General features: G+C 47.4%; 3 annotated features.

Annotated features, from left to right (window-relative positions):
* Positions 1,809-1,978: an enhancer, noted in NCBI's record as "experimental_59986 CRE fragment used in MPRA reporter constructs". NCBI's record gives its function as "activates a minimal promoter by MPRAs in K562 erythroleukemia cells, with activity observed for both the introgressed and non-introgressed 20:17783908 variant alleles {active_cell/tissue: K562}" and the evidence as "EXISTENCE:reporter gene assay evidence [ECO:0000049][PMID:34662402]".
* Positions 3,041-3,229: a silencer, noted in NCBI's record as "fragment chr20:17782572-17782760 (GRCh37/hg19 assembly coordinates)". NCBI's record gives its function as "represses an EF-1alpha promoter that drives an FKBP-Casp9 reporter gene in an ReSE screen in HepG2 liver carcinoma cells {active_cell/tissue: HepG2}" and the evidence as "EXISTENCE:reporter gene assay evidence [ECO:0000049][PMID:32094911]".
* Positions 13,763-13,932: an enhancer, noted in NCBI's record as "experimental_59976 CRE fragment used in MPRA reporter constructs". NCBI's record gives its function as "activates a minimal promoter by MPRAs in K562 erythroleukemia cells, with activity observed for both the introgressed and non-introgressed 20:17771954 variant alleles {active_cell/tissue: K562}" and the evidence as "EXISTENCE:reporter gene assay evidence [ECO:0000049][PMID:34662402]".

Genomic DNA, 24,965 nt, shown 5'->3' with positions numbered 1-24,965 from the left:
ACTTCATTTCCTTTGGCTATATGCTCAGTGGTGGGACTGCTGGATATGGTAATTCTATCTTTCAGTTTTTTTTTTTTTTTTTGAGACAGAGTCTCTGTCTTTCGCCCAGGCTGGAGTTCAGTGGCACGAACTCAGCTCACTGCAAGCTCCACCTCCCAGGTTCACGCCGTTCTCCTGCCTCAGCCTCCCGAGTAGCTGGGACTACGGACACCCGCCACCAAGCCCGGCTAATTTTTTTTTTTTTGTATTTTTTAGTAGAGACGGGGTTTCACCATGTTAGCCAGGATGGTCTTGATCTGCTGACCTCATCATCCACCCGCCTCGGCATCCCAAAGTGCTGGGATTACAGGCGTGAGCCACCGCGCCCGGCCTATCTTTCAGTTTTTTAAGCAATCTTCATACTGTTTTCTGTAATGACTGTCCTAATTTAATTCCCACCAATAGAACCATAGGCTATTTAAATAGTGCCCTAAGGGGCAGCCTAGGGGTAAGAACAGGGCACTTGGTCAGGTAGCACCCAGCAAGAGCCCATCCTGGCTGTGTGTTATGTAAGGGGGAAAAGGTGATCAACTCAGTGCAGGGAATGCTGGAACTAAGTCATGTTCAGGGTAGACAGTGGCATCTGCCCATGGAAGCCGTGGACATGCCCCTTCTTAAGACCCATGGACACTCCCCTCACTGAAACCCACAACATGGTCTTAAGTAAGGGAGGCTCAGGAGCAGATTTATACTTTAGAAAACTCATCCTGGCTACAGTGGGGAAAGTAGAACTGGGGGGTACCAATCTAAAGTCAGGAAGGCCATTCTAATCCAGAGAGATGAGGCAGGCCTAAACTCGGGCTGGAGAGGAGGGAGCGGCTTTGAGGGATATTTAGGATTTGGGGGTTGGAAGTGAGGCATGAGGGAAAGTCATGATGAGGAAAGGATGACATCCAGTTTCTAGTGTGGTTCTCTCAGTGGATGGTGTTCTGTCAGTTACTTCTGTAATAATGCTGCATAACCAATAAGCCCACAGTCTCAGTGGTTTACATCAACAAAGATTTTATTTCACATCCATGAGACTGAAGGCTGGCTGCCGTTGGCTGATCTTGAATGGGCTTGTCTGGGCCAGACTTCTGATTGGGTTCAGGATGTTCCACATGACCTCATTCTGGAGCCTAAGCCAAAGGGCAGTAACTATCTGGTGGAAAATCATGGGAGGGAAGATCACACAAGCATCTTTAAAATCTCATCTTGCATCACATCCAGGGCAGAGGTAAATCAAGGCCACCAGAGGAAAGAGGAGATAAGGTCACTAGGGGCTGAGGGCTGGGGCTGCTGGCTGGAATATCTGTCTGGGTTTCCTCTTATCCCTAGGCCAACCGAGGTCACAGTTGTGATGTGTTTCTCAAGTCTTTAAAACGATGCCAGGGAACAGAGATGTGGTTATCAGAATTAGGTACAATGAAAGTCTTTTTCCCTCCAATAAATATTGGATGCACATCCACTACGTGCCAGATGGACCATTTCCTCCTGTGAGGTAGGCATGGCAGCTGGAATCAAGGCCTAAGTTTAAAGCTGTGTCATGGAAAATAGGTTTCTGGTGTCCTAAGGGTTAGTTGTACCATCAAATAGAATTTCCATGGGAATTTCAGAATAATCAATTATGTACACTTTATGAATTTAAAATTGTAGTTGGCTAAAATAGAGACCTGAAAAATAGTGGCTTAAATCCCCAAGTATTTATTCTCTAATTTGTTAGGAAGTTTGGAGATAGGCAATCCAGGGCAGAACCCAAGCTTGTTATGTCTTTCTGCTCCGTTGTCTGCAGCTTGCAGCTTCTACCCTCAGACTCACCTCATGGTCCAATATAGCTGCTAGAGCTCCAGCCATTCGATGAGATATAGGCTAGAAGAAGGAGGTAAGGCAAAAGGGATATTTTTCTCAATTGAGACAGGTTTCTCTAAAGCAGGCTTCCTGGAAACTCCATAAAACATTAAGGCTTACATCTCACTAGTCACATGACCACACTAGCTGCAAGAGAGATTGGGAAATTTGGTTTTAGCTAGATACATTGCTTCCCTGAGTAAAGTCAACATTCTGTTTTCAAGCCACAAAGGGAAAATAAATATTAAGGGGCAACCAGCAGTTTCTACTGCACCCTCTAAGTGTGTGTGTGTGTGTGTGTGTGTGTGTGTGTGTGTGTGTGTGTTCCCTCAGAGGGACAGAATTTAGCAGAAAGAACCCTGTATTAAACTCAAGACCCATGGACTTATTTTCCTATTTCTCTATTACTGGCTACATCAACAAGGCAAAGTCATATAATCTCTCTGAGGCTTCAGGTTCCTTTTCGGCAAAATGTACTATTGATCATCTTTCCTTCCAGTGTTATCAAAATAACCAAATAGGACCAAGAACTCTATGAATTTTAACATGATATTAAAAAATTAATAATAAATACCCGTTTGGACTAGAAGCGCCCTTTGACCCACTGCTGTCCACACCAAGCAGGCTGTTGTGCTCTCACAGAGCATAGCTGGAGGGTAGGAGTGGGGCAAGACTAAGTATGTGGATGGAGTTGGCCCTGTTGAGGCAGATGGTATCCTAATTCCTTATGGACAGTAAGTACCTTAGGAGAATGTTTACTTGTGGATGGTTAGTCTTGATCCAGTGGTTTCCAACCGCTCCAGTTGACTATGCTGTATAATAGACACTAACCCCAAAGCCTACTGGCTTAAAACAATAATTTGTCATCTTTCTGGTTGACTGGGCTCAGTAGGGCAGTTTTCACTTAGAGTCTCTCATATATTTACTGTCGGATGTCAATGGGGGTTGCAGTCATCTGAAGGCTCAACTGGGCTGGACCTCCAGGGAGGGTCTCCCAACATGGTCAGCAGTTGATGCTGGGAGAGTAGCTGAGCTATACACTCAACCCCTCTTCATGTGGTCTCTGCACATGGCTTTGGCCTCATTGCATAACAGCTGGGGTCTGAGCAGGAATGTTCCAAGAGCAAATCTTTCAAAAGGAAAAGAACAGAAACTGTCATTTCTCCTATAAGCTAGACTAGAACTGGCACGTGTCACTTCTGCCCAGATTCAAGAAGGTAGAAAACACACTCCCTTTCTTTATGGGGGAATAGCATGCCTGTTGGGAAGGGTGGGAACTGATGGCAACATCTTAGAGACTGGCTACCACATCTACATTGGCTGAACATTGAAATCCCCTGAGTGATTTCACCTGAGTGATAAAACAAAGGCCAGGTGCATCCCCAGAGACTGCGGTGATTGACGATCTGGAGTGTGGCCTGGTTATTATGATATTTCAAAGCTCCAAAGGTGATTCCAATGTGCAGTCAAGGTTTAGATCCATTGGCTTACTCCAATACCACCATCTCCCCTGCCCCCCGCAAAAAAGACCCAGACCCAGGAAGGGAAAGAACTCAAGGCTTAGTCCATGAGACCCAGGAGGTTCTTAATCAGACATTCAGTATGCTCTGCTCCACCCCGTCCCCTTGCTGGTTTGGTCCCATGGGACTTTCTGCATCGAGGTAGCTCCTGTGGTCAGGGAATAGAACAACGTGGAAGCCAAGGTGGAAAGAGTTATTAAATGTGAGTGGGGATAGTAGAGTTCATAAAACTGCCTGGATATCTCCTTAATCCCAGGCTTTTGATCTGTAGTTGGTAGTTTGGCCAGTTTTTCCCATTGCTTTCACCAGGAATTTTGTGTCAGAACACAAGTTCCAACAAAAATGCCAGAAATCCCATTTTAAGAGCATTTTGAATCAATCAGACTACGAATAGTTAACATACCTTTCCCCCAAATGGGCAGTACCTAAAGGAAGGTTTCAAATACCTTCATTCCAGGAGCATGCTTATGAATATTCATATTCTGCCTGCTAGTGGTTTCACACATTAGAAAATACCATTTATTCCTAAGGCTAATGAGCTCTTAAATTTCCTTTGTGCTGGGGAAAGAGGTTTTATTTTTCTGGGTAGTTTATTTTCGGTGTCTGTCCATTTTCTGGAAGGGCCCTTTCCTTTAAAACTCTAGGCACGTTTCAAGAGCAGAGTGGAACTGTAAATAATTTCCCACGCAGAGAAGCCCACCAGCCTGGTGATAACATTAACGAAGGCTGCACAAAGTGGTTGGGAGGCAAGAGGATGAGAAGTTAGCTGTGAGCCCAGTTCCCAGGGAGATTCATATCGAATGGGGACCACATAATCAACACCCCTGTGAAATGCATAAAACCATGCAACGAAAGACAGTTGCAGAAATGTGAATGTGGACAGTACATAATTGGCATCTAAGGCTCTCAGGCGTTAAATGAACCTTATAAAATATCTTGTCTAGTGACCTATCATACGTTGGAACTTCCCTGTTACACTTCTGCTGAAATGGCTCAGAAGAGGGGAACTGTTTCCTCTCTCTCGTCTTTGTCCAGTCTGGTGGTTTGATAGGCCTTCCTTACATTCATCCACATACTCTCTCTACACCTGCCACCCTGTACCATGAACCACTCACTCATTGGCTTTTGGCTCCATTCCTGTCCTCAGTGCTCTGCTCTCTGCCAAAGGGGCTGGAACCCTGCATTTCCCAGGTTATCTTGCCCGCTGGCTTCTGCTTAGGCTTAGTCAATGGGAGGCACTGGAGAGATACTGGAAGGCAGAAGAAGGGGAAGCTAATCTTGTTCTCTCTGTATCAGACTGACCCTCCAGCAGAAGCAGCAATGAATACAAGTCCCTGGGTTCCTGCTCTGGCAGCTCCAGCAGTCTAGTGACTGATGGCTCTGGGTATTCTATTTTTCCTGTTGCTCTTCTAGTGCCAAGGTTGACTGTGACTTCCTACAGTTACTAATCTTTGGGTATCCTTACCTTTCCAACTCTCTCAATACTTTTGTAAACAGTTCCCTACATTCAATTCCTTCTATTTGAGATATCTAAGAGGTTCCTATTTCCCTAACTGGACACTGATTGACATACTATTAGGGAATTTCTAGAGTTGTATAAAGATTTATGTATCTTCCAGATAACAGCAAATATTTGAGCATGGCTATACTGTTCTCTTCCAGTTTTATCTTTATCATGTCACATTTCCTCAGCCCTGCATCAAATGCCTCTTCTCTTATCTTGTGGCTTCCAGATCTGCCTCCATCCCAGCTACTTTCTTCTGAGCCCACTTCATTTGGCTACTGCTTGTTTCAAGTGACATCCACAGTTGGATGGGCCCCAGCCATGATCAATCCAGGATAAGGACAAGGGAACTTTCACCTTCCTCCACCTTCACACTAGCCTTCATGGGATTAACCTATTGTCTTAGTTCATTTGGGACTCTGTGCCATGGACTGGGTGGCTTAAACCACAGACATTTATTTTTCATGGTTCTGGAGGATGGGAAGTCCAAGATCAAGCTGCCAGTCAACTTGGTTGAGGGCTCCCTTAGTTTACAGAGGGACCACCTTCTTGCTGTGTCCTCACATGGTGGAGAGAGAGATCTCTTGTCTCCTCCTCTTTTTATAATGGTATGACCTAATCTAACCCAAATGACCTCCCAAAGGCCTTACGTCCAAGTATCATTGCATTGGAGATTAGGAATCAACATATGAATTTGGAGGGGCACAGATATTTAGTACACATCACCTGTGATGCTGCTGGAAGTCAGCAGGCACACCACATTGCTGACACTTGAAGCTACCCCATATGTCTTTGTCAGTGTTTTTTGTTGTTGTTGTTTTGTTTTGTTTTGAGAAGGAGTTTTGCTCTTTTGCCCAAGTTGGAGTGCAGTGGCGCCATCTTGGGTCATGAGTAGTTGGGATTACAGGTGCCTGCCACCATGCTTGGCTAATTTTTGTATTTTCAGTAGAGATGGGGTTTCACCATGTTGGCCAGGCTGGTCTCAGACTCTTGACCTCAAGCAATCTGCCTGCCTTGGCTTTCTGAAGTGCTGGGATTACAGGCGCTAGCCACTGCGCCCAGCCCATCAGTGTGTTCTTGATAAGCCTTCGCTTGTCCATCTTATGCTTGTGTTGTTGTTTTTGTTTTCCTTTTGGGCCCTAGCTCCAGGCTGTTACACTAACTCCCACCGGCCTGCAGCAGGATCCTTCAGTCCACTGCTCTGCAGAGTTTATTGAGGCTCCTCATTCTGTTGCTCAGCACACTTGCTACTTACTCTCCACGGTTTCCTGTCTACTGCATACTTGCCAAGAATGACCTTTACCTTATTATCTCAGTCACTGATTTAAAATGATTGAACAGAACCTGGCATTCCATAAGTTGCCCACTCAACAGTCATTGCCCATTTCACTCACTTTGCTGACTAAACCCTGATTTGGGGGTGGGGGAGTGGGCAGTGAGCTCAACTTCCAAAGATGTAACTGCCCTGCTGCACTTTGCAGATGCTCACTGTTTCAACTCCTCCAGGGCAGCTGGAGGCAGGGGTGGGGCAGGTAACTCAGGTATGGTCAAGAGGAAGTCTACTGGGGAATTTCTGGCAAGATTTTCCCTCCTTGATAAAAAGAAGAGCTGTCTTACTTTGTCCCCACCCCCAAACCCTCACCGAAGCATTCCCTGAAACAAGAATTATAGGGTAAGTAGTTTTCTGGGAACATAATCCCAGGAAAACACTAGCAAGGGAGTAGGGAAGTGAGACAGGGAAGGAAAAATATTTAACAAAGCGTGCATTATAGAGCAGGTTTTACTGTGGAGAACTAAGCTTAATCATGCAGGGACATTTTTGGAAAAGGTGTAAGTCACATGCCTTGTGGTTATCCCTTGGAGCAATGAGGGAACTAAGGTACTTTTATAGCTACTCCCCCTCAATCATTGGTTAGGACTTTCTCTGGAGGAATATGAATTTTGGGGGGCACTTCTGACCTGATGTCCATGGGCAGAGCAGTTTTCTGAGGTTTTAGGGAAAAGCCCTCAGGTTAAGGCAGTTTGGAATTGACTGGAGCCTACTGAAATAATAAAATGGAGGGATAGGCGATGAGCTCCAATAATGTCTGCTGTAATGCCCCTGCCCCACTATGCTTCCTGACCTTGTATGTGGTTGTGATGTTGGGGGCTGCAGCAGCCATCTTGTGACCAGAAGGTGATAAGCAAGAGGCTGACAAACCAACACACTGAGGTTGGCAGTGGAGAAATAACAGAAAAACCCAGGGTCCTTTCCCTTGTCATTGGGCTGCTACTGCAAAATCTCCTCCCACAGCCTTCTTATTTTATGAAAGAATTGTGTTTTCATTTTTTTTCAGCCAGTGTTACTTGGGCGTCCTGTTCTTTGTAGTTAAGTAAATTTCATCTGGAACAGCTCTACAGGATGAGTGGATGAGAAGGTCCCAGGCAGAGTCTGCCTGAGCAGCTCACTACTCTCATAACTGAATCCTTGCACCAGGGTTTGTTTTGAGGGAACACAAATTAAAACACACGCTTGATAAGACCTTTAAATAAGAAACAGATGGATGGGTCCCTGAATGGAAACCTGGATGGGTAAAACTTCAATCTCTCCATGTTAAGTAATTGATTAAATTCTTATCCCTTGTGGTGCAGGAGGAAAGCAGTTATGCCGAACAGCGTGGCTTTTTCAGGAAAAGAAATAATTCCAGGGAGGCACAACTGAAATGTCTTTTTTTGGTCAGGACCCTTTTGGTTGCAAGTGACAGAAATGCAACTCAAATAAACATAAAGGGAATGTGTTTGTGTTGACTCTAGTAACCACCAGATTCCAAAGTCATAGCTGGATTCAGTGGCTCTGATGATATGGGCTCTCTCTCTCATCTCATCTTACCTCTATTTACCTTCATTCTGCATGCAAGCTCTGTTCACGTGGCAGACAAAATGCCAGGCATTTGCAGCCCCACCCTGCCAGTGAATAACCCAGGTGTACAAGCTTCATTTACGGTCTCTCCCATATCAACCTCAGAGTGTTTGATGTGGTGGAGTTGGGTGTCGTGATTTTCAAACCCACCAGAACTGTGTCATGAATGGGACCTCCCCAGAGGAACCAGCAGAAGAGGAATAGAAAAGCAGCCTGGAAAGAAAGTTGCTTGGCTGCTATTAGCCCTGTCAGCTTCCTGCTCATTGACAGGGATAGTTCTTGTATTGCATTATCGGATGCTCCGTAGCTGCCGGCAGCTTTAACCCTCTCATCCTCTTCCATGGTGTTGGGATGGGGGACACATGCATGTTCTTGCTTCCTTTCCAGCCACTCCCTTTCCTAAATCCAAATGTATCTCTGATTTAGATGCAGTGGTACATGCCTGTGATCCCAGCAACTTGAGAGGCTGACGCAAGAAGATTACTGGAGGCTAGGAGTTCAAGACCAGACAGGGCAACATAGTGAGGCCCCATCTCTAAAAAATAAAAATTACAATTAAATGTATCTCAGGATGCCCCTGACACAAAGACTTGAGCTTAGGCCATTTATTTGAGAGATGACCCCAGGATGCACTGGGAGGGAAGAAGTGAGGCAGGGAAGGAAAGAAAATCAAGAAGGGGGTGTATTAGTGAGAGAAGGAAATAGGGCTCAGGTATCCCTGTGGGCCTTCTAAGACACTGTATAAAGTTTTATCAAACCAAACTATCCCTCAAAACTGTACACAGAAAGGCAAGGACACAAGAGTCCTTTTCACTACCTCCTAGCAGTCCTCCTTGCTTGGAGGCTGCCCCTAGGAGCAGTCTTGCCCTGGTTTCTCTAGCCTGTGTTGAGTGTGAGCTGAACACTCTGGGGTGGGAGGTACTGGGGCAGGGGCATAGAGAACACCCGAAGAGATAGATGCAGGTGCTGGAAAGAGCCCTTGGCATGGCCTGGACTGCCAACAGCAGCTGTAAGTGACCTCCAGAGTGGACCTGGGCATGTGGGCTTTGGCTGTCATCTGTTATTTAACTGAATGTTGCAACAGCCCATGAGGTAAGCATTACTCCATTTAAGAGCCAAGTAACTGACGCCCAAGCAATTTCAAAGCTCTGCTACCAGACATACTCTAACAGTAGAAAGTCTGATTTTTAAAAATGACCTAGTTTACAGAGTCCAGGGTTTTAAAAGTTTCTTCCAAAACCTCAACCTGCATCCTGTTTTCAGAGTTGTTACTACAGTTGCTTATTAATCAAGATTAATAAAGACCATGGCAGTTATTATCTGATAGTCACAGCTGTTGAGAATCTTAGGAAATAGACACATGGGTGAGAAATACCAGAGCTTGATGCTTGATTGGCATTAGCCTTATGGGGCTCATGAGATAGTGACCATGGTGCTTGCAAAGCATTTCTTGCTGAAAAAGGGAAGCTACAGCTTAATGCTGGGGCTACTTCATGCCCGACCATGACCAGGATCTGTCAGGCAGTACTCTCTGAAGCCAGTCTCCTAATTTTTCAGACATCACAAATGCGACTTTTTTTTATAGTTGTGAAAGCCCCCAAAACATCAATTCTCACAAATCGAGGACTGGCTGGGGCCCTGGCTTCTGACCCTTTGCTCTCCAGGGACCATGAAAATTATTTGGCTTAGATGTGTGGTGATGAGGCAATGGAATAAATGCAGCTTTCCATTTTGCTGCAGAGTAACATGAAGAAGCCGGTTGACAAGCAACTCTCTGGCCAGTTCTGTGGCCTTGGGCAAATCGCTTAACCTCTCTGGGATCCAGCTGTTTGTATGTGAAATGAAAGTGTTTGGTTAATCAAGCAGCTAATCTGGGGCACTTGTGCTGCCACTCCTCTCTCCCTGCCCACGGCATAGGGTACTATTATGGCACTTTCCCTCCAAGCTAGATGTTGGCCTCAGAATCCTCAACACAGCAAATCAGGGAATCATCACTGAGCACTCAGAGTTGGCAGATGGGTTTGAAACCTGTCTGCCCTCCCTGGCCTGGATGATCTCTAAAGTTCCTTTAATTCTAACTTGTTGGATTCTGGGAACATGTAAACCAGGGGTCTGCAAACTACACCCAAAGGTCAAAGCTGGCCCTCTGCCTGTTTGTGTAAATAAAGTTTTATTAGAACACTGCCATTCAAAGGCCCATTCATTTATGCATTGTCTATGGCTGCTTTCATGCTACAATGGTGGAATTGGGTTGTTGTAATAGAGACCACATGGCCTGTAAAGTCTAAAATATTTTCTTTCAGGTCCTTAATAGAAAAAGTTTTGCCACCTTGTGATTAAATTTCCCTCCTTCCCTCCATCTTGTCCTCCAGGTCATGAGGGAAATTCCTCTTTGTCTCTGAGGGGCCTGTGTGGCTGAGCAATGCTCCAAGTGCCTGTGGGCCTTCTGCATCCCTAAGTCAGGAGAAGAGCAGGAGAAAAGCCAATAGGAAAATACAAGGAATGAAGACATTGTGGCAGAGATAGAGGTAGGGGGAGGCAGATGGGTGGGGAGCCGGGGTTCTCAAAGAAAAGGTCAAAGGGCACCCAGAGGAGAGGACCAAGGCATCCTTTTGTGCTGTCACTGAATGGCCACGGTGGTACTTACAGACCTCCTCCAGCCAACCTATCCTGGCATCCAGTTGGGGGCTGAGCCACCTTGTTTGGTTCTGTGCTCCAAGAACCCTGGCATGGCTGGCTGCCCGCTGGCTTCCGCCAGTAGTTTGGCATGAAAAGTGCTGGCTTGGGGCCTTTTTTCATGAAGAAAACAATTGCCTTTTCCTGGTCTGTGGACAACCACTGCTGCCTGCCTGGACATTGGCAGGAATGTTAAATTGCACCCTTGATGGCTGCCCTAGAAGCTGGGGTCTAGGAAATGTCCCTACAGCTATGTATGCTGGGCTACCATATCCATTTTCTCTCTGTGGGGTCAAAATCCAGTGCCTCAGCAATGAATCCTGCAGCGTCTTATATGAATTATTGGTGAATGTAATGAACTGTACACCCTCATCTCTTCTCCCACTTCCAGGCCCACTGAGGTCCTTTTCCAAGGTCTGTGTGCTTTGCTGTGAATGGCTCACCCCTGATACCTTCAGGGACCTGCCCTTGGGCACTGGGGCTCCCGGGCAGCCCATGGCCACAACTGGTGGTCATGTGGACAAAGGCCCAGCTCCTTTGCTGTCACCCCCACTCCAGGGTTCCCTGCAGGATTAGGCACTGGGACTTTGTCAAGCTCAGGTGCATACAATTCAGGGCAACTCCAAGCCCTGATTCAGGGGCTTTTATAATAGATTCAGACTGTTTATTACTTACACAGACAATGAAGAGTAAGCCAAAGGTACCAGTGCCCCAGGTCCTCATTCGGCATATCAGAAAGGAGGGCACCCAAACAAGAGAGGCCGAGTGACTGTCATGTGAGCTGGGGGATGCCCCTTGGCTGAGATGCCAATTCTAGACTGAGGCTGAGCAGAGGCAGGATGGGGAGCCCCATCACTCAGCAGAACCCAGAAGGGATGACAAACAGACCCACGGCGGCTCTCTAGGGGCTGGGAGGCGATGGGGAGATGGCCTGGAACTCTGCAGCCTCTGCCTCTCACCCACTTCTGATCCAGGAGGACCACGAAGCATTCCGCCAGCACTCAGCGTGTTCAATTCCTGTTGCTGCTCCAACAAACCATCACAGATTAGTGGCTTCACACAAAGTTATCTTACAGTACTGGAGGTCAGAAGTCCAAAATGGGCTTCCCTGGGCTAAAATCAGGGTGTCAGCAAGGCTGGTTCCTTCTGGAGGCTCTAGGGGAGAATCCTTTTTCTTGCCTTTTCCAGTTTCTAGAGGGCACCTGCATTCCTTGGCTAGTGGCCCCAGCAAGCACATCCCTCCAACCTTTGCTTCTGTCCTCACATCTCCCTCTCACTGCCCCTTGTGATTACATTGGGCCCATCTGGGAAATCCAGGAAAATCTCCCCATCTCAACATCTTTAATTTACTCAACATCCTTTTTGCATATAAGGTAACATATTCACAGATTCCATGGATTAAGACACAGATGTAGGGGTGCGGGGCGTTATTTCACCCACCACATTCAGATTGGCTGTGGGTCAAGCCTTCGCCTCCGTGGCCTATTTGGATACACGTGAGATCTCCAGGGCACCACAGAGGAGCCGGTCCCATGCAGACCGCAGCTGAAACAGATGCCTCTTTAACCCCTTCCCTTTCCTTGTCCTGCTTCTCTCCTGCCCAAACTGGTTTCCCTTGAGGGTGCTTCCTTCATAAACATCTGCATGGAGTCTTAGGAAGCTGCCCTGAGACAGTGGGGGACCCCATGTGCAGGAAAGTATAACTTCAGTGGCTGGTGCTTCCTCTGTGCCCCTTACCTAGGATTGCAGGCTACGAGTCCAGCTCCTCCCTTAATTACGGAGAAGCCTGGATGAAATTTCTGAGGGTTTAGGTAAGGCTGACTCTGAGGGAGGGGAGGTTGGGTGGAAATGTCCCAGACACAGAAGTGTGCAGTCTAAGGAAGACTCAGCAGGGCTTTCGGGAAGCCCCGTGTCTCTCAGAAGTGAGCCTGCCTCAGTATCTCCACCATGTTCGGTCACTGGCAGGTGCAGCCTGTGGCACAGCCTCTGTGCATATGTGGTGTCCTTACACTCCCTGAATTTGGAAGCCTCATGGCTCCTGCAGAATGGTGGGGTAAACAGGACATAGAATTTGAACTTCATCACTGGTAGGCTGGGAAACTCCTAGGAGGATTTAAGCAGAGGGATGACATGACATGGCTGGATTGACCATATTGAATGGTCACTCTGGTTGCAGAGGGGAGAATGGACGTGGTGGGGCCTGAGAGGGGGCAGGGAGGCCAGAGGGGAGGCTAAGTCATTGTCCAGGGGACAGGTGAAGGTAGTGGGCCTGTACGACTCGTGTTCTCAGGATCCCGGAAGGAATGCTTTCGGAGAGCAGAGCAGAGACCTCAGCTCAGCTGCCTGCCTCACCTCCTGGGTTCCCAAATCCCACAGGGTCTGCCGTTTCCTACCCTGCCCACCTCCTTTCCCATGTCCTTCCCCCTTGCCCATGCCCTTCATGCTTCACCCGAGGCACACCCTGCCCTGGCATTTCCCAAATCCCTCCATACTCTGCATTTCTACTCCCAGCTCTCTCCCCAAAGAACAGATTGCCCCTGTTTTCCAAAACTCTCCTGCATCACTTGTTAGAAGTGCAGATTCTGTTAGCCAGGCATGGTGGTGCGTACCTGTAGTTCCACCTACTCCAGAAGCTGAGGTGGGAGAATCACTTAGCCCAGGAGCTGGAGGCTACAGTGAGCTGTCACCGTGCCACTGCAATCTAGCCTGGGCAACAGAGTGGGACATTGTCTCTTAAAAACACACACACACACAAACCCAAAGCATGGATTCTGGAGTCCCACTGCTGATCTACTGAATCAGATACTCTGGGCAGAGGTTGCAGGAGCAGCAATTTGTGTTTTAAAAAGCCCCTCCCCCACCCCCCGCCGGGCCCAAGGGATCCTGATGCGGCTCAAGTTTGAGAACTCCTGTTGTACACACCCTGGAATCATCTGGGTAATTCTTTTAAAAATCTCATTACCTGGGTCCCAACCCAGACCAATCAAATCAGGATCTCTGGTAGGACCCGGCTTCAATGCTTTTTTGAGCTTCTCAAGTGATTCTCATGTGCAGCCAAGATTGAGAGCTGCTGTATCTGTGGTGAGTGGCCTGTGTGTGTGGCCCGCACCCAATCCATTCCACAGACATCCATCGAGCCCTGACAACATGTTCCACGTGGAGTCAGGTGGGCCATGAGAATGCAGAGATGTGTCTCCCTGGGGTTTTGGTGTGTGGACAAGGGACTGCAGCTCTGTGTGTGTTGCCATCTGTGCGGAGGGAGAAAAGGTGTGGGAGGAGAACAACACCCAAGACAGGCTTTTAAGAGAAGCCATTAAAAGTTGAGGAAGTTGGGCTGGGCGCGGTGGCTCATGACTGTAATCCCAGCACTTTGGGAGGTCCAGGCGGGCAGATTAAGAGGTCAGGAGTTTGAGACTAGCCCGACCAACATGGTGAAACCCCTTCTCTACTAAAAATACAAAAAATTAGGCAGGCATGGTGTCGTGTGCCTGTAATACCAGCTACTCAAGAGGCTGAGGCAGGAGAATCACTTGAACCCAGGAGGCGGAGGTTGCAGTGAGCTGAGATTGCACCATTGCACTCCAGCTTGGGTGACAGAGTGAGACTCCATCTAAAAAAAAAAAAAAAAATTGAGGAAGTTGCAGCTTCTGAGAGGTCGGCATCCTCATGTCCTGCCTTCCCATTTGGGAATGCAGGATGTCAGCCTGACCCTGAGTGCTTAGGATGGGTCCAGTAACTATCTGGATAACCCCAAATCGTGAACCTGAATGTGGCTCTCTGGTTCATAACCTACAATCACACTGTCCCCTGACCCCTTGCAGGCTAAGCACACTTCTAAGAGTTGGGGGTTAAGGCCTGGGAGATAACGTCAGGAATTTGCTATCATGCCCACTAGAAGGGAAGCCCCTGTGCCCTGTGCCAGTGGCAGAGAGGGGAGCATGGTGGGTGACCACTGACATCTCCAGGCTATCAGAAGGCTGCTGTGGGACTATCCTGATTTCTGGAGGCAGAGCTCAGAGTAGTCTCTTGGTCCAAGCCCCTCTATTAGAAAAGGTCATTTATATCTGGAAAAACTGTGAGGCAATGAAACTCTAGAACAAAAATTATGCGGGTCCCTGGGCGCTTGTCTTCTCCCAGTTCCTTCCTACTGTCTTCCTTTTTGCCAGGAGGCCTTTCCAGGGAGGGTGCCGGGTGGACAAATCTTGAGTGCTGAGAGCTATGATTTCGTGGGGAAGCCCAGCTGTGCATGTGGTCTTGAAAAAAGAAGTGCCTTGAGGTAGAATTCTTGTTTGGGTTTTGGCAACATCAGCCCAAATAGGATTTGCATCCTTTCTTGTAGAGGAGCTCAGAGCTGTGGTAAAATTACTCCTTCTGGCCTCCAGCTCAGATATGGGATCAGCAGGAGCTGTGGCCTGGGCTGGGAAACAGAAGCCTCCTGTTTAGTGGCCAGGCTGAGGCTTGGAGTGCTCTGATGGAAGGGGAGTTGGCAAGGGTCGGAGGCCTTTCCTGCAAATTTGGGTGGGTACCTTAGTTGGATTCCTCAAAAGCAGAGCTGAGCAAGAACTTAGATGCAGGTGGTTTATCTGGGTGGGGATCCCAGCAGGCAAGGGTGCGGTGTGGGGAGACTGAGAGGGGGAGGATGCTTCATTGAGAGGCTTCATGAGGTGGGCATGGCAGCTCCATCCACAGAGGAAGCATGTAGAATTCTCCCACTAGAAGGGTGTCACCTCCCAGAATTGTGCCTTTGTGTGGACTTTGCTGCCTCTCAAGGCTTCAGGAAAAACCCCACAATGGGAGAGCAGAGAGATGCTGCAGCACAGCTGAGAAGGGATGTGGGCCGTGCACACGCACTGACCCCCCACAGCCAGGCTGAAATCAGGGGGCGAAAGGGCCAGGGCCAGGTGACAGAGCATCAGTCACAATGGTCAGATATGCTGGTTCTTACTCAGGCCCAAGACCAAATCTCAGTGGTACCATGTGCTATCTCTGCGGCTTTGGGCAGCTTTTTTACCTTGGAAAACCTCAGTTTCCCCATCTGTAAAATGGAGTTGATAACACTGCTTCTCTCCTGGGGTTGATGTGGGAAGTTAAAGAGAACATTCAGACAGTTGTATATCTACATGCAAAAGAATAAAGCTGCACCCCTACCTCACATCATGTGCAAAAAAATTTACTCAAAATAAACCAACCATAAGACTCTTAGAAGAAAACATGGGAAATCTTTGACCTTAGATTTAGCAATAAATTCTTAGATATGACACTAAAGCACGTGTGACAAAAGAAAAGCTGGATAAATTGGGCTTCAAAATTAAACACTTTTGCGCATCAAAGGACATTCTCTAGAAATTGAAAAGACAGCTTACAACATGAGAGAGAGTATTTGCAAGTCATATTTTTGATGAGTCTGGTATTCAGAATATGTAAAGAATTCTTTTTTTTTTTCTTTTTTCCTTTGAGACAGAGTCTCTCTCACTGTGTTGCCCAGGCTGGAGTGCAGTGGCATGATCTTGGCTCACAGCAACCTCCGCCTCCCAGCTTCACGCCATTCTCCTGCCTCAGCCTCCCGAGTAGCTGGGACTACAGGCGCCTGCCACCACGCCCAGCTAATTTTTTTTTTTTGTATTTTTAGTAGAGACGAGGTTTCACCATGTTAGCCAGGTCGATCTCCTGACCTCATGATCCACCTGCCTCGGCCTCCCAAAATGCTGGGATTACAGGCATGAGCCACCATGCCCGGCCCAGAATATGTGAAGAACTCTTACAACTCAATAACAAAAGGACAAACAGCCTGATTTCGAAAAGGACTTGGGTAAACTAATCAAATAGACATTTCTCCAGAGAAGATATACAAATGGCCAGCAAGCACATGAAAAGATGCTCAAGATTATTCATTATTAGGGAAATCCAAATCAAAACCACAGTAAGTTAGCACTTCACACCCACTAAAATGATGTTTAAAAAAAATGGAAAATAACAAGTGTTAGCAAGGGTGTGGAGAAATTGGACCCTTTGTATATCGCTGGGGGGAGTATAGGTTAGGGCTGGTTGGAACCCAGCCTCATGGTTCAGCCTTAGTGGAAAATGGTTTGATGGTTCCTCAAAAATTTAAACATAAAATTATCATATGACCCAGTGATTCCACCCTTGCCTGTATACTCAAAAGAGTTGAAAACTGGTGCTCAAACAAATACACCCACATGTGTGCTTATAGCAGGACTATTCACAATAGCTAAATGGTAGAAATAGCCCAAATGTCCCTCAGTGGATGATTGGATAAACTAATTGTGGTATATCTAGAATGTTATTCAGTCATGAAAAAGAAATGAAGTGCTGATACTTGCTAACATGGATGAACCTTGAAAACACTATGCTCAGTGAAAGAAGTCAGTCACTATCATACAACTTTATTTACCAAAAAAAAAAAAAAAAAAAAAAAACAGAATAGGTAAAATCCATAAAGACAGAAGGCAGATTGGTGGGTTCCAGGGGGCTGGAAGAGGGGGGATGGGGAAGAACTGCTTTATGGGGTACAGGGTTCTAACTAGCCCTAACTTGCTGGGAAGGCACACAGAATTGCACATTTGCCAAGCCTTATGAAAATGTGAGGGGTGGGGAGGGGGCAATGTGGTGGAGTTCTGGAATGGGGGACTTTCAGAGGGCAATGAATGTCCCAGCCAGATGGAGATCACCTGCTGGGTTGGAATTCCTGAGAGAAAAAGTGGCATCTTGCACCATCCCAGGGTCCTGCATTCTTCAGAAATCAGGGGAGAGTAGAAACCAGTAGGCAGCCTTCATGTGGGCTCTTAAGGGCAATGAAAATGGATTCCTAATGCCACCACTGATGGGCATTTTACGGGGAAGAGAGAGGAGCTTCTTCCCTCTTCCTGAGCTTTCTGAGCTCCTGCTATGTGTCAGACACGGTGTTAGGCTACAGGCCCACAGAACAATACTTGTTCCTGCCCACAAGAAGTTTCCTAGAGGAGAAAAAACATAACGAAATGTGAATCCAATGTGTTCTGTGCAGTGATGGAGAGAAGCCAAGGACATTGGGTGTGGAGGGAGGCAAGCAGGTGTCAGTGAGAAGCATCGCAGGTTAAGGGAGCCTCGGTGGGGTGGGGTGGGGTGGAGGGAAGAGGCCCTGGAAGCAGGTGGAGAGTGTGGCCCCAGGAGCAGGAGGAGAAGCCCAGGAGCTGGCTGTCATGGAGGCCATGTCCAGAAGACAGGCTGGTCTCATCCTCAGGGCCACACTGGCCGCAGCTGTAGTATGGACCGTTCCTGCGCACACGGATGTCTTCCACCTTAAGCACCCCTGTGGCTCTCTGTTTTTCTGCCTCAGGAGTTAATATCCCTGGGAAGTGACATTTAACCCATGGGGTCCAGACCAATGCTCCTGCCCTGCAGCCTTTGGAGGGACAGTTCTAAGGTGCATTCTATACAGCCCCTTGGAAGGTCCCAGCAGGCTTCCAGCCCCGGGTGCCCACAGCAGTGCCCAGCCCAGTAACACACACTTTTTCCTGGGCTCGCTTTCCTGGCATCTTCCCAGGACCACCCGCTACATACACTGGTTGCATGTAGGGCTTTGTCTCAGGTCTCTGCTTTAGGAGAATACAATACAAATACAAATACACCATGAAAGTAGAGGGTTTTAAGTGAAGAGAGTGAGGGGTTGTTTCATACAGGATGGAGCAGACAGTGAGATCAGTTCTGGAAAATGGCCATTGAATTGAGTGGTGAAGAGGCCCTCAGTGGAAATTTGTTGGAGTGCTTGGGGGATGGGCAGCCCCAGAGGGCCGAGGTGCCAGTGCAGACCCAGGAGGTGTTTTGAGAACCTTAGAGGAGAAGGGGAGGAGAGGGTCCCTTCAGTATCAGATTGTCCCTTCCCCCATGTCCCCATATCAGTTCCCATCACACACTGCCTCCTACCCTCCACAGACCTCTCAAGTCTCCTTTGGGGGATGCTGTTGCTTTGCACTTTTTTTCCGGAATTTTCCACGATGAGTGTTCTAGCACCCCAGAGTCTGGCATCCTGGAGAGGCTGGGTCTCTGCCTTTCTGTTGGTGCTATGGAACCATGGGCCACGGGCCCAGCTCTGTGTTTGGAAATATTCTTGGCCCCTTTTCGAGGCCGTCTCAGACATCCACTCAGCCATCCCCAGCAGTGAAGTTTGCAGCAGCTGATGGTGGAAAAAGAGGCATAGAAAAAACAAAACTGTTTGTCCAAGGTCAGCCAGGAAGTCTGTGGTAGCCTCGAGTCTGGGATGCAGAAAACGGATCTCCCTAACTAAGCCCCAGTGTGATGATCTAAGCCCACTTGCTTTCAGACAAGGAGAAGGAAAAGGAAACTCATTCCTTTCTGTCTGCAGGGAAATCGCCTGTGGGTGCTGGCAGGGCCGGTGGAGACACCTGCGAGGAGCCAGCAGCTGCTCTGTCACGAGAGGGTGGGAAGTATCTCTGACCAGGCCTGGGCCCACTGTCAAGAGCAGACCCTGAGAACCTCTGTTCTGGGTCCCAGGGCCTCACGAATCAGCTGCAAGTTCTGGTTTTCTCCTCACCCAATGCCCATTTCAATTCCAAGTCAGGGTGGGCCATGGATTTGAAAGGATAAGGGGAAAGGGAAGAAGAGGGATGGGAGAGGAGGAGGCCTTCCACCTGGAGGACTAGTGCCAGCCTTGACACAGGGTCACACTGATTCAAGAAGGGCTGTGCTTGTGCGCGCGCGCGTGTGTGTGTGTGTGTGTGTGTGTGTAGCATGATGTAAAAAACCCACAGGACCAATAAGATACATCTTTCAGAAGTTATGAAAGTAAAATTTTATATTTTGAGTGTATAAGGAAGCAAGACATGCAGGCACATTAAGGTGTAGAAGGATAAATTAACTGTAGATTTAAAAACTTTAAAAACTACAATAGGAGATTCTTTTTTTCTTTTCTTTTTTTTTTTTTTTTTTGAGACAGAGTCTTACTCTGTCGCCCAGGCTAAAGTACAGTAATCCAATCCTGGCTTACTGCAACCTCTGCCTCCCGGGTTCAGGGGATTCTCGTGCCTCAGCCTCCTGAGTAGCTGAGATTACAAGCGTGTGCCACCACATCTGGTTAATTTTTGTATTTTTAGTAGAGATGGGATTTCACCATATTGGCTAGGCTGGTCTTGAACTTCTGATCTCAAGTGATCTGCCTGCCTCGACTGGGATTACAGGCGTGAGTCACTGCCCCTAGCCTACAGTAGGAGAGTCTAAGGAAGATTCTAAAATGCTGAGACCCCAGGCCTCTGGGGTTATGTATCAGCTGTCCTCTGCCACCAGGAAACATTAGCAAAAGCGTTTGAGAAGCACTCATCTAGTCCAGTGGTATGCTGGTAAATATTTAGCAACTAACTCTCAAAAAAAAAAAAAATTTGGATTGGTGGCATTTGCCACTTCCCATGGTATAACTGCTTCCATTATGGCCAGTTTCCACCTACCAAGGTGACATCACCGAATATGGAGCTGGGAGGAGACGCGCACAGTCTGCTGTCACAGGCTGGGGTGTGCCAGTCCAGCTTGTCATCGATTCCACCCAACCTCTGCATCCTACAGCAGGAAACACAGAAGCCCAGGGAGAGAAAATAGCCACTCCAAGGTCACTTGGGGAGCTGGTGGCAAAGTTGAGCTCCTAACTGATGCCCTACACTTTATTCCATGTTCTCATATTGTTTGTTTTATTTGCTCGGCTCTAGAATATGAACATGTGCACGTGTGTGTTTGTACCTCTTTTAGCTTTTCATTTGACCACCCCTCTGTCAGGAGGACACTTTCTCGTCTGTCCAAAGCTGGCATCTTTCTGTCTTTCAGGTCTCATTCACACATTCCCATATCATCTCCTAAAGAGGACTTCCTTGGCCTCCCTATACATCCAGTCACTCCCCATCACAGAGCCCTGTTCATTCACGGCACTTAGTGTCTAAAGTCATCTGAATTGCTTGCTTATTGCCGTCTCTTCCCTAAAGGGCAATCTCCTCCCTACCCGCCGCCAACCCCACCGTGAACAAGGAACTGTGTCGGCTTCATTGTCCTGTCAGCTCCTAGGACGGCCTGGAATCGCTTCCTTTATTTCCCAAAGATTTATTGAGCACCTATTGTATGCCAGGCACTACCTTGAAACCTGGCTCCCAGAGTGGGGCTGGGTCCCACTGCTCTGCAGAGGGATGCATTTAGAGTTTCTTTCTGTAGCTGTGTGTGGGGCTTGTATTGCACTGCCTGATTCAGGAACAGGGCAAAGCAGAGAGAAGGGGCAGAGCAGAGCGAAGGGGCAGACCTGGGATAGAGAACCGCATTTATCTGGCTGCGAAGATGCCTCGGGCGGGTTACCTGGTGTTCCAATTATCTATTGCTGTGCAGCAAATCATCCCCAAAACCTGGTGGCTTAAAACACTGCATTGTGTTATTTTATTTATTTTTCATATTATCTCTTGCTGTTCTGGAAAATATTATCTGCCACACTGAGCCTGTCAGTTTTCAGCTTCTCCATAGAATTATTGTGAGGATTATACGTATGTGTGAAAGTGTGAATTTTAAAAGATGAGCTAAAGTGACGAGCTGGTTGTCTGACATGCAGGAGGCCCCAGAGGGTGGCCATCTCCTTCCCACCCTACACACCCAAAGGCTGATAGCTTTTGCTTCCTTTTTTAACTGTTCATAAAGATCTTAGAATAAAAAAATGTTCAGGAAGTGATCGCCAAGCTTTTTTGTTAAAGTCGAGTTTTACTGAGGTGTAATTTACATACGGTAATTGCATAGTTCTGTGAGTTTTGACAAATGCTGACAGTCACGTAACCACTGCCACTATCAGGATAGGAAACATCCCTGTTAACACAGAACACTGCAACCCTTTGTGGTCAACCCTTAGTTCCCAGATCCTGGCAACTGCTGAGCTGCTTTCTGTCCCCACAGTTTTGTCTTTGCTAGAATGTTGTGTCGATGGAATCATATAGTATGTAGCCTTTCGGGCCTGGCATCTTTCATTTAGCATTACCCATTTTGGATTCATCCGTGTTGTTGCTGAGTAGTATTCCATGCATTCTGAACAATGCATTTATCCCAAACTTGCTTTTCAGATATGGAAAAGCAATGATATCCAGTGTGGAACCTCAAAACACAAAACAGATGAGGACTGAGATCTGGTGAGGCCAGGAGGAGTGGAGGTTGGGTGGGGAAACACAGCCCCATGTCACAGCTCCAGAAACCTCTATAAGGCATTCAGGGGATTCCTTGAAATGTAGTTTGAAGTCCCTTGGTCTAGTCACTTGTGAATAAAGCAGGCTGTTCTCCAGCCTCTCTCAAGTTTTGAGGCCTGGATGAGTTTTATTTTCCTGAAAGTTGTTTTCCATCCTAAGGAGACAGAGCTCGGTGAGTGAGGGAGTGTGAGGCAATGGAAGGACACGAGCATGGAGGTCGGGTTGCCTTGACCTAAGCATGACATGGGCAGGTTCTGGCTCCCTTTGGGTCTCTATCTCCCCATGTGCAAAATGAGGATTGCATTAAACTAGACTCATGTGGGGAACCCTAGGGATGGGGTGAGAAGTTGAGGACACTGACTCTAGACTCCCATCCCATACCTCGTTTCATCCAGCCATGAGAATGGCTCAAACTTGTCGTCTCCAGAGCCACCAACTTGTCTAGCAATGCTGGACCAGATAAAGGACAGGGATGACTAGCAAACAGAATGCAGGTGTGGTGCAGAAGTGAGAGGAGAGGCTATTTTTACCTTCTCTGACTGCTTAGAAATGAAACCACCTCTTGGTCTTGCCCACTCTGGCCAGGACAATTGGAGATCATCTTATTTATTGAGTCCAGGAGTCATAATTTGTTCATCTTGCCAATGCCCCACTACATTGCCTATGCCTGTGAGGACCACCGAGTAATACTGCCCTGTCCCCTGCACTTGGCAGAGTCTCTAACTGTTGAGTTTCTGTTCTTGGCCCTGGTCAGGGAAGTTTGTGAGTATAAAACGTAGGTGTCTGGTAAGGGTGATAGCATTCTTACTGGAATAAATAATAAATAGTGACGCTGTACAATTTAATATCCAGCAGTATCATTTTCTCTAAAGCCCAGGGACTATCAGATTTACATCCTGTTCTGTGAGAGAAGGAACATTTAACTTGATCTCAGACTTTTCTTGTTCAGATATCTTTTAAAAATACTCCCCATATCGTACATACTTGACACACTTGGGGTTGGGACTGCCTTAAACAAATTATCTTCTCTTATTGTCACCCTAATCACTGATAATAACACAATTATCATTATACTTCCAGGTTATTTAGGTAAGAAAAATGGTCCCCTCTCTCCCTGGCTCCCACCCTGCTCAGTCCATCTCCAGATTCAAGAGCTGCAGCGTGTTTAACGCCATTCAGTGGGGCTGGTCCTGACCTCCTCATGCACTAGGCTGGTGACCCACCAGGGAAGCCTGGCTTGGTGCAGCCCCCAGAATCTCTGCCACAGATGAGAGGTTTCCACTGTTGCTGAGACATCTGCCCATGCAAGACAACCCACATGACCCTTCTAGGGCCCTTCTCTGGGAAAGGCCTTTGGTCAAGTCTCATGAAGAGACATGAAGAAAGCACTTAGATGCAGCAATTCCAACAAGTGACAAAAACCCACCTGAAAAGCTGCTTTGTTTTCCCTTGGATATGTCTTAGATATTCATGCTGTCATTTAGCACTGACGGTTCCCTATGCCTGGGACACTTTCCCCCCAGATTTCAGCAGGGGTCACTCCCTCAGCTCCTTCACATCTTTGCTGAGCTTCACCTCCTCATGGGGCTGACCCTGACCCCCCTATGTAATACTGCAAACTGACCACCCTTCACTTCCAATCCCCCTTACCCTGTTCTACTTATTTTCTTATAGCATGGAGCCTTTCTAACGTACCAAAAAAAGTACTTATTCATTATGTTTATTATTTAATGTCTGTCTTTCCCTGCTGTACCATAAGCTCCACAAGGCAGGGATCTGTGTTTGGTTTATCTATCTAACTGAAATGCTGAGAGCAGTGCCTGGCAAACTGTAGGTGCTCAATAAATCATGTTAAACGAACAAATGAGCAATGGAAATGTCATCCACACAACCAGCAGGTTCAGTTGCTTGGCAGATATCAACCCAGTGACTACAACCAAGGAGGACTTAGCAAGGGGATGTTATTACTTGTAAGAAGTAAGGCGAACACCAGGGATAATTCCCAAAGCAGCATCTCCCCGAGTTGGGGGCTGGGTAAGGTTTTATAAGCATAAGGTAATGAGGTGAGATCTGATTGGATCCTGCAAAGAGGTGATGCCAGGAGGCGTGATATGACTGGATCCTGCCACGGGGTGATGCCAGAGCTTGATCTGATTGGATCCTCCATCCCAGCACTTAGGATCCCCCCTCTCCCAGGTTGCACACTGAAGTCATCTGGGCATGCTCATGTTACGTGACCTGAGGGTCCGTGGCTACTGAAAACACCTCACAACTTTGTTACATAAAAGTGAAACCAATAGGTTGGATGCAGTTCCAGAAAGAACACTGAGGTCTGAAGGGGGATGTCTGAATTTGTATCTGTCTCCTGGGGTCTTTGTCATCTTTACACGCACCATTTGGCCTCTCTGAGTCTCGGCTTCCTCCTCTGGAAAGAGGAAATCATGGTGTGCGTACTTCACAAGGTTCTGGTAGCCACGTTAAATAAGTAAAATGAAACAGGGTATGTTCCTTTCCTAGGGCTGCTGTCACGATATGCCACAAAGTGGGTGGCCTAAGACCACAGACATTTATGGTCTCGCAGCTCTGGAGACCAGAAGGACAAAATCGGGGCTCCTGCAGAGCCGTGGCCTGTGTGATGCCTGTAGGGGAGAAGCCTTTCCTGCCTCTCCCCGCACACGGTGCTTGCTGGCAATCGTGGGATTCCTTGACTGGCAGCTGCATCACTCCAATCTCTGTCTCCATCGCCACATGGCTATGTTTTTGCTGTGTCTGTATCTTCTTTTTTTTATAAGAACACCAATCATATTGCATTGAGGGCCCACCCTATTCCAGTATGACCTTTGTATGAGTCCATCTTCACACTGCTATAAAGAAATACCTGAGACTGGGTAATTTATAAAGACAAGATGTCTCATTGGCTCACAGTTCTGCAAGCTGTACAGGAAGCATGGTGGCTTCTGCTTCTGGGGAGGCCTCAGGAAACTTACAATTATAGCAGAAAGTGAAGGGGAAGCAGGCACATCTTATGTAGCCAGAGGGAAGAGAAGAAGGGGAGAGGTGCTACACACTTTTAAACAACCAGATCTCATGATAACTCATTCACTCACTATCACAAGAACAGCAGCAAAGGAATGATGCTAAACCATTCATAAGAAACCACCCCCATGATCCAGTCACCTCCCACCAGGCCCAACCTCCAACATCAGGGATTCCAATTAGACATGATATCTGGGCAGGAACACAGACCAAACCATATCAACCTTATCTCAACGAATTACATCTGCAACAAC

This window comes from Homo sapiens, chromosome 20, assembly GCF_000001405.40.
Source record: "Homo sapiens chromosome 20, GRCh38.p14 Primary Assembly".
Taxonomy (NCBI): Eukaryota; Metazoa; Chordata; class Mammalia; order Primates; family Hominidae; genus Homo; species Homo sapiens.
Note: the sequence above shows the minus strand (reverse complement) of the source record. Positions and strands in the feature narration are given on the sequence as shown.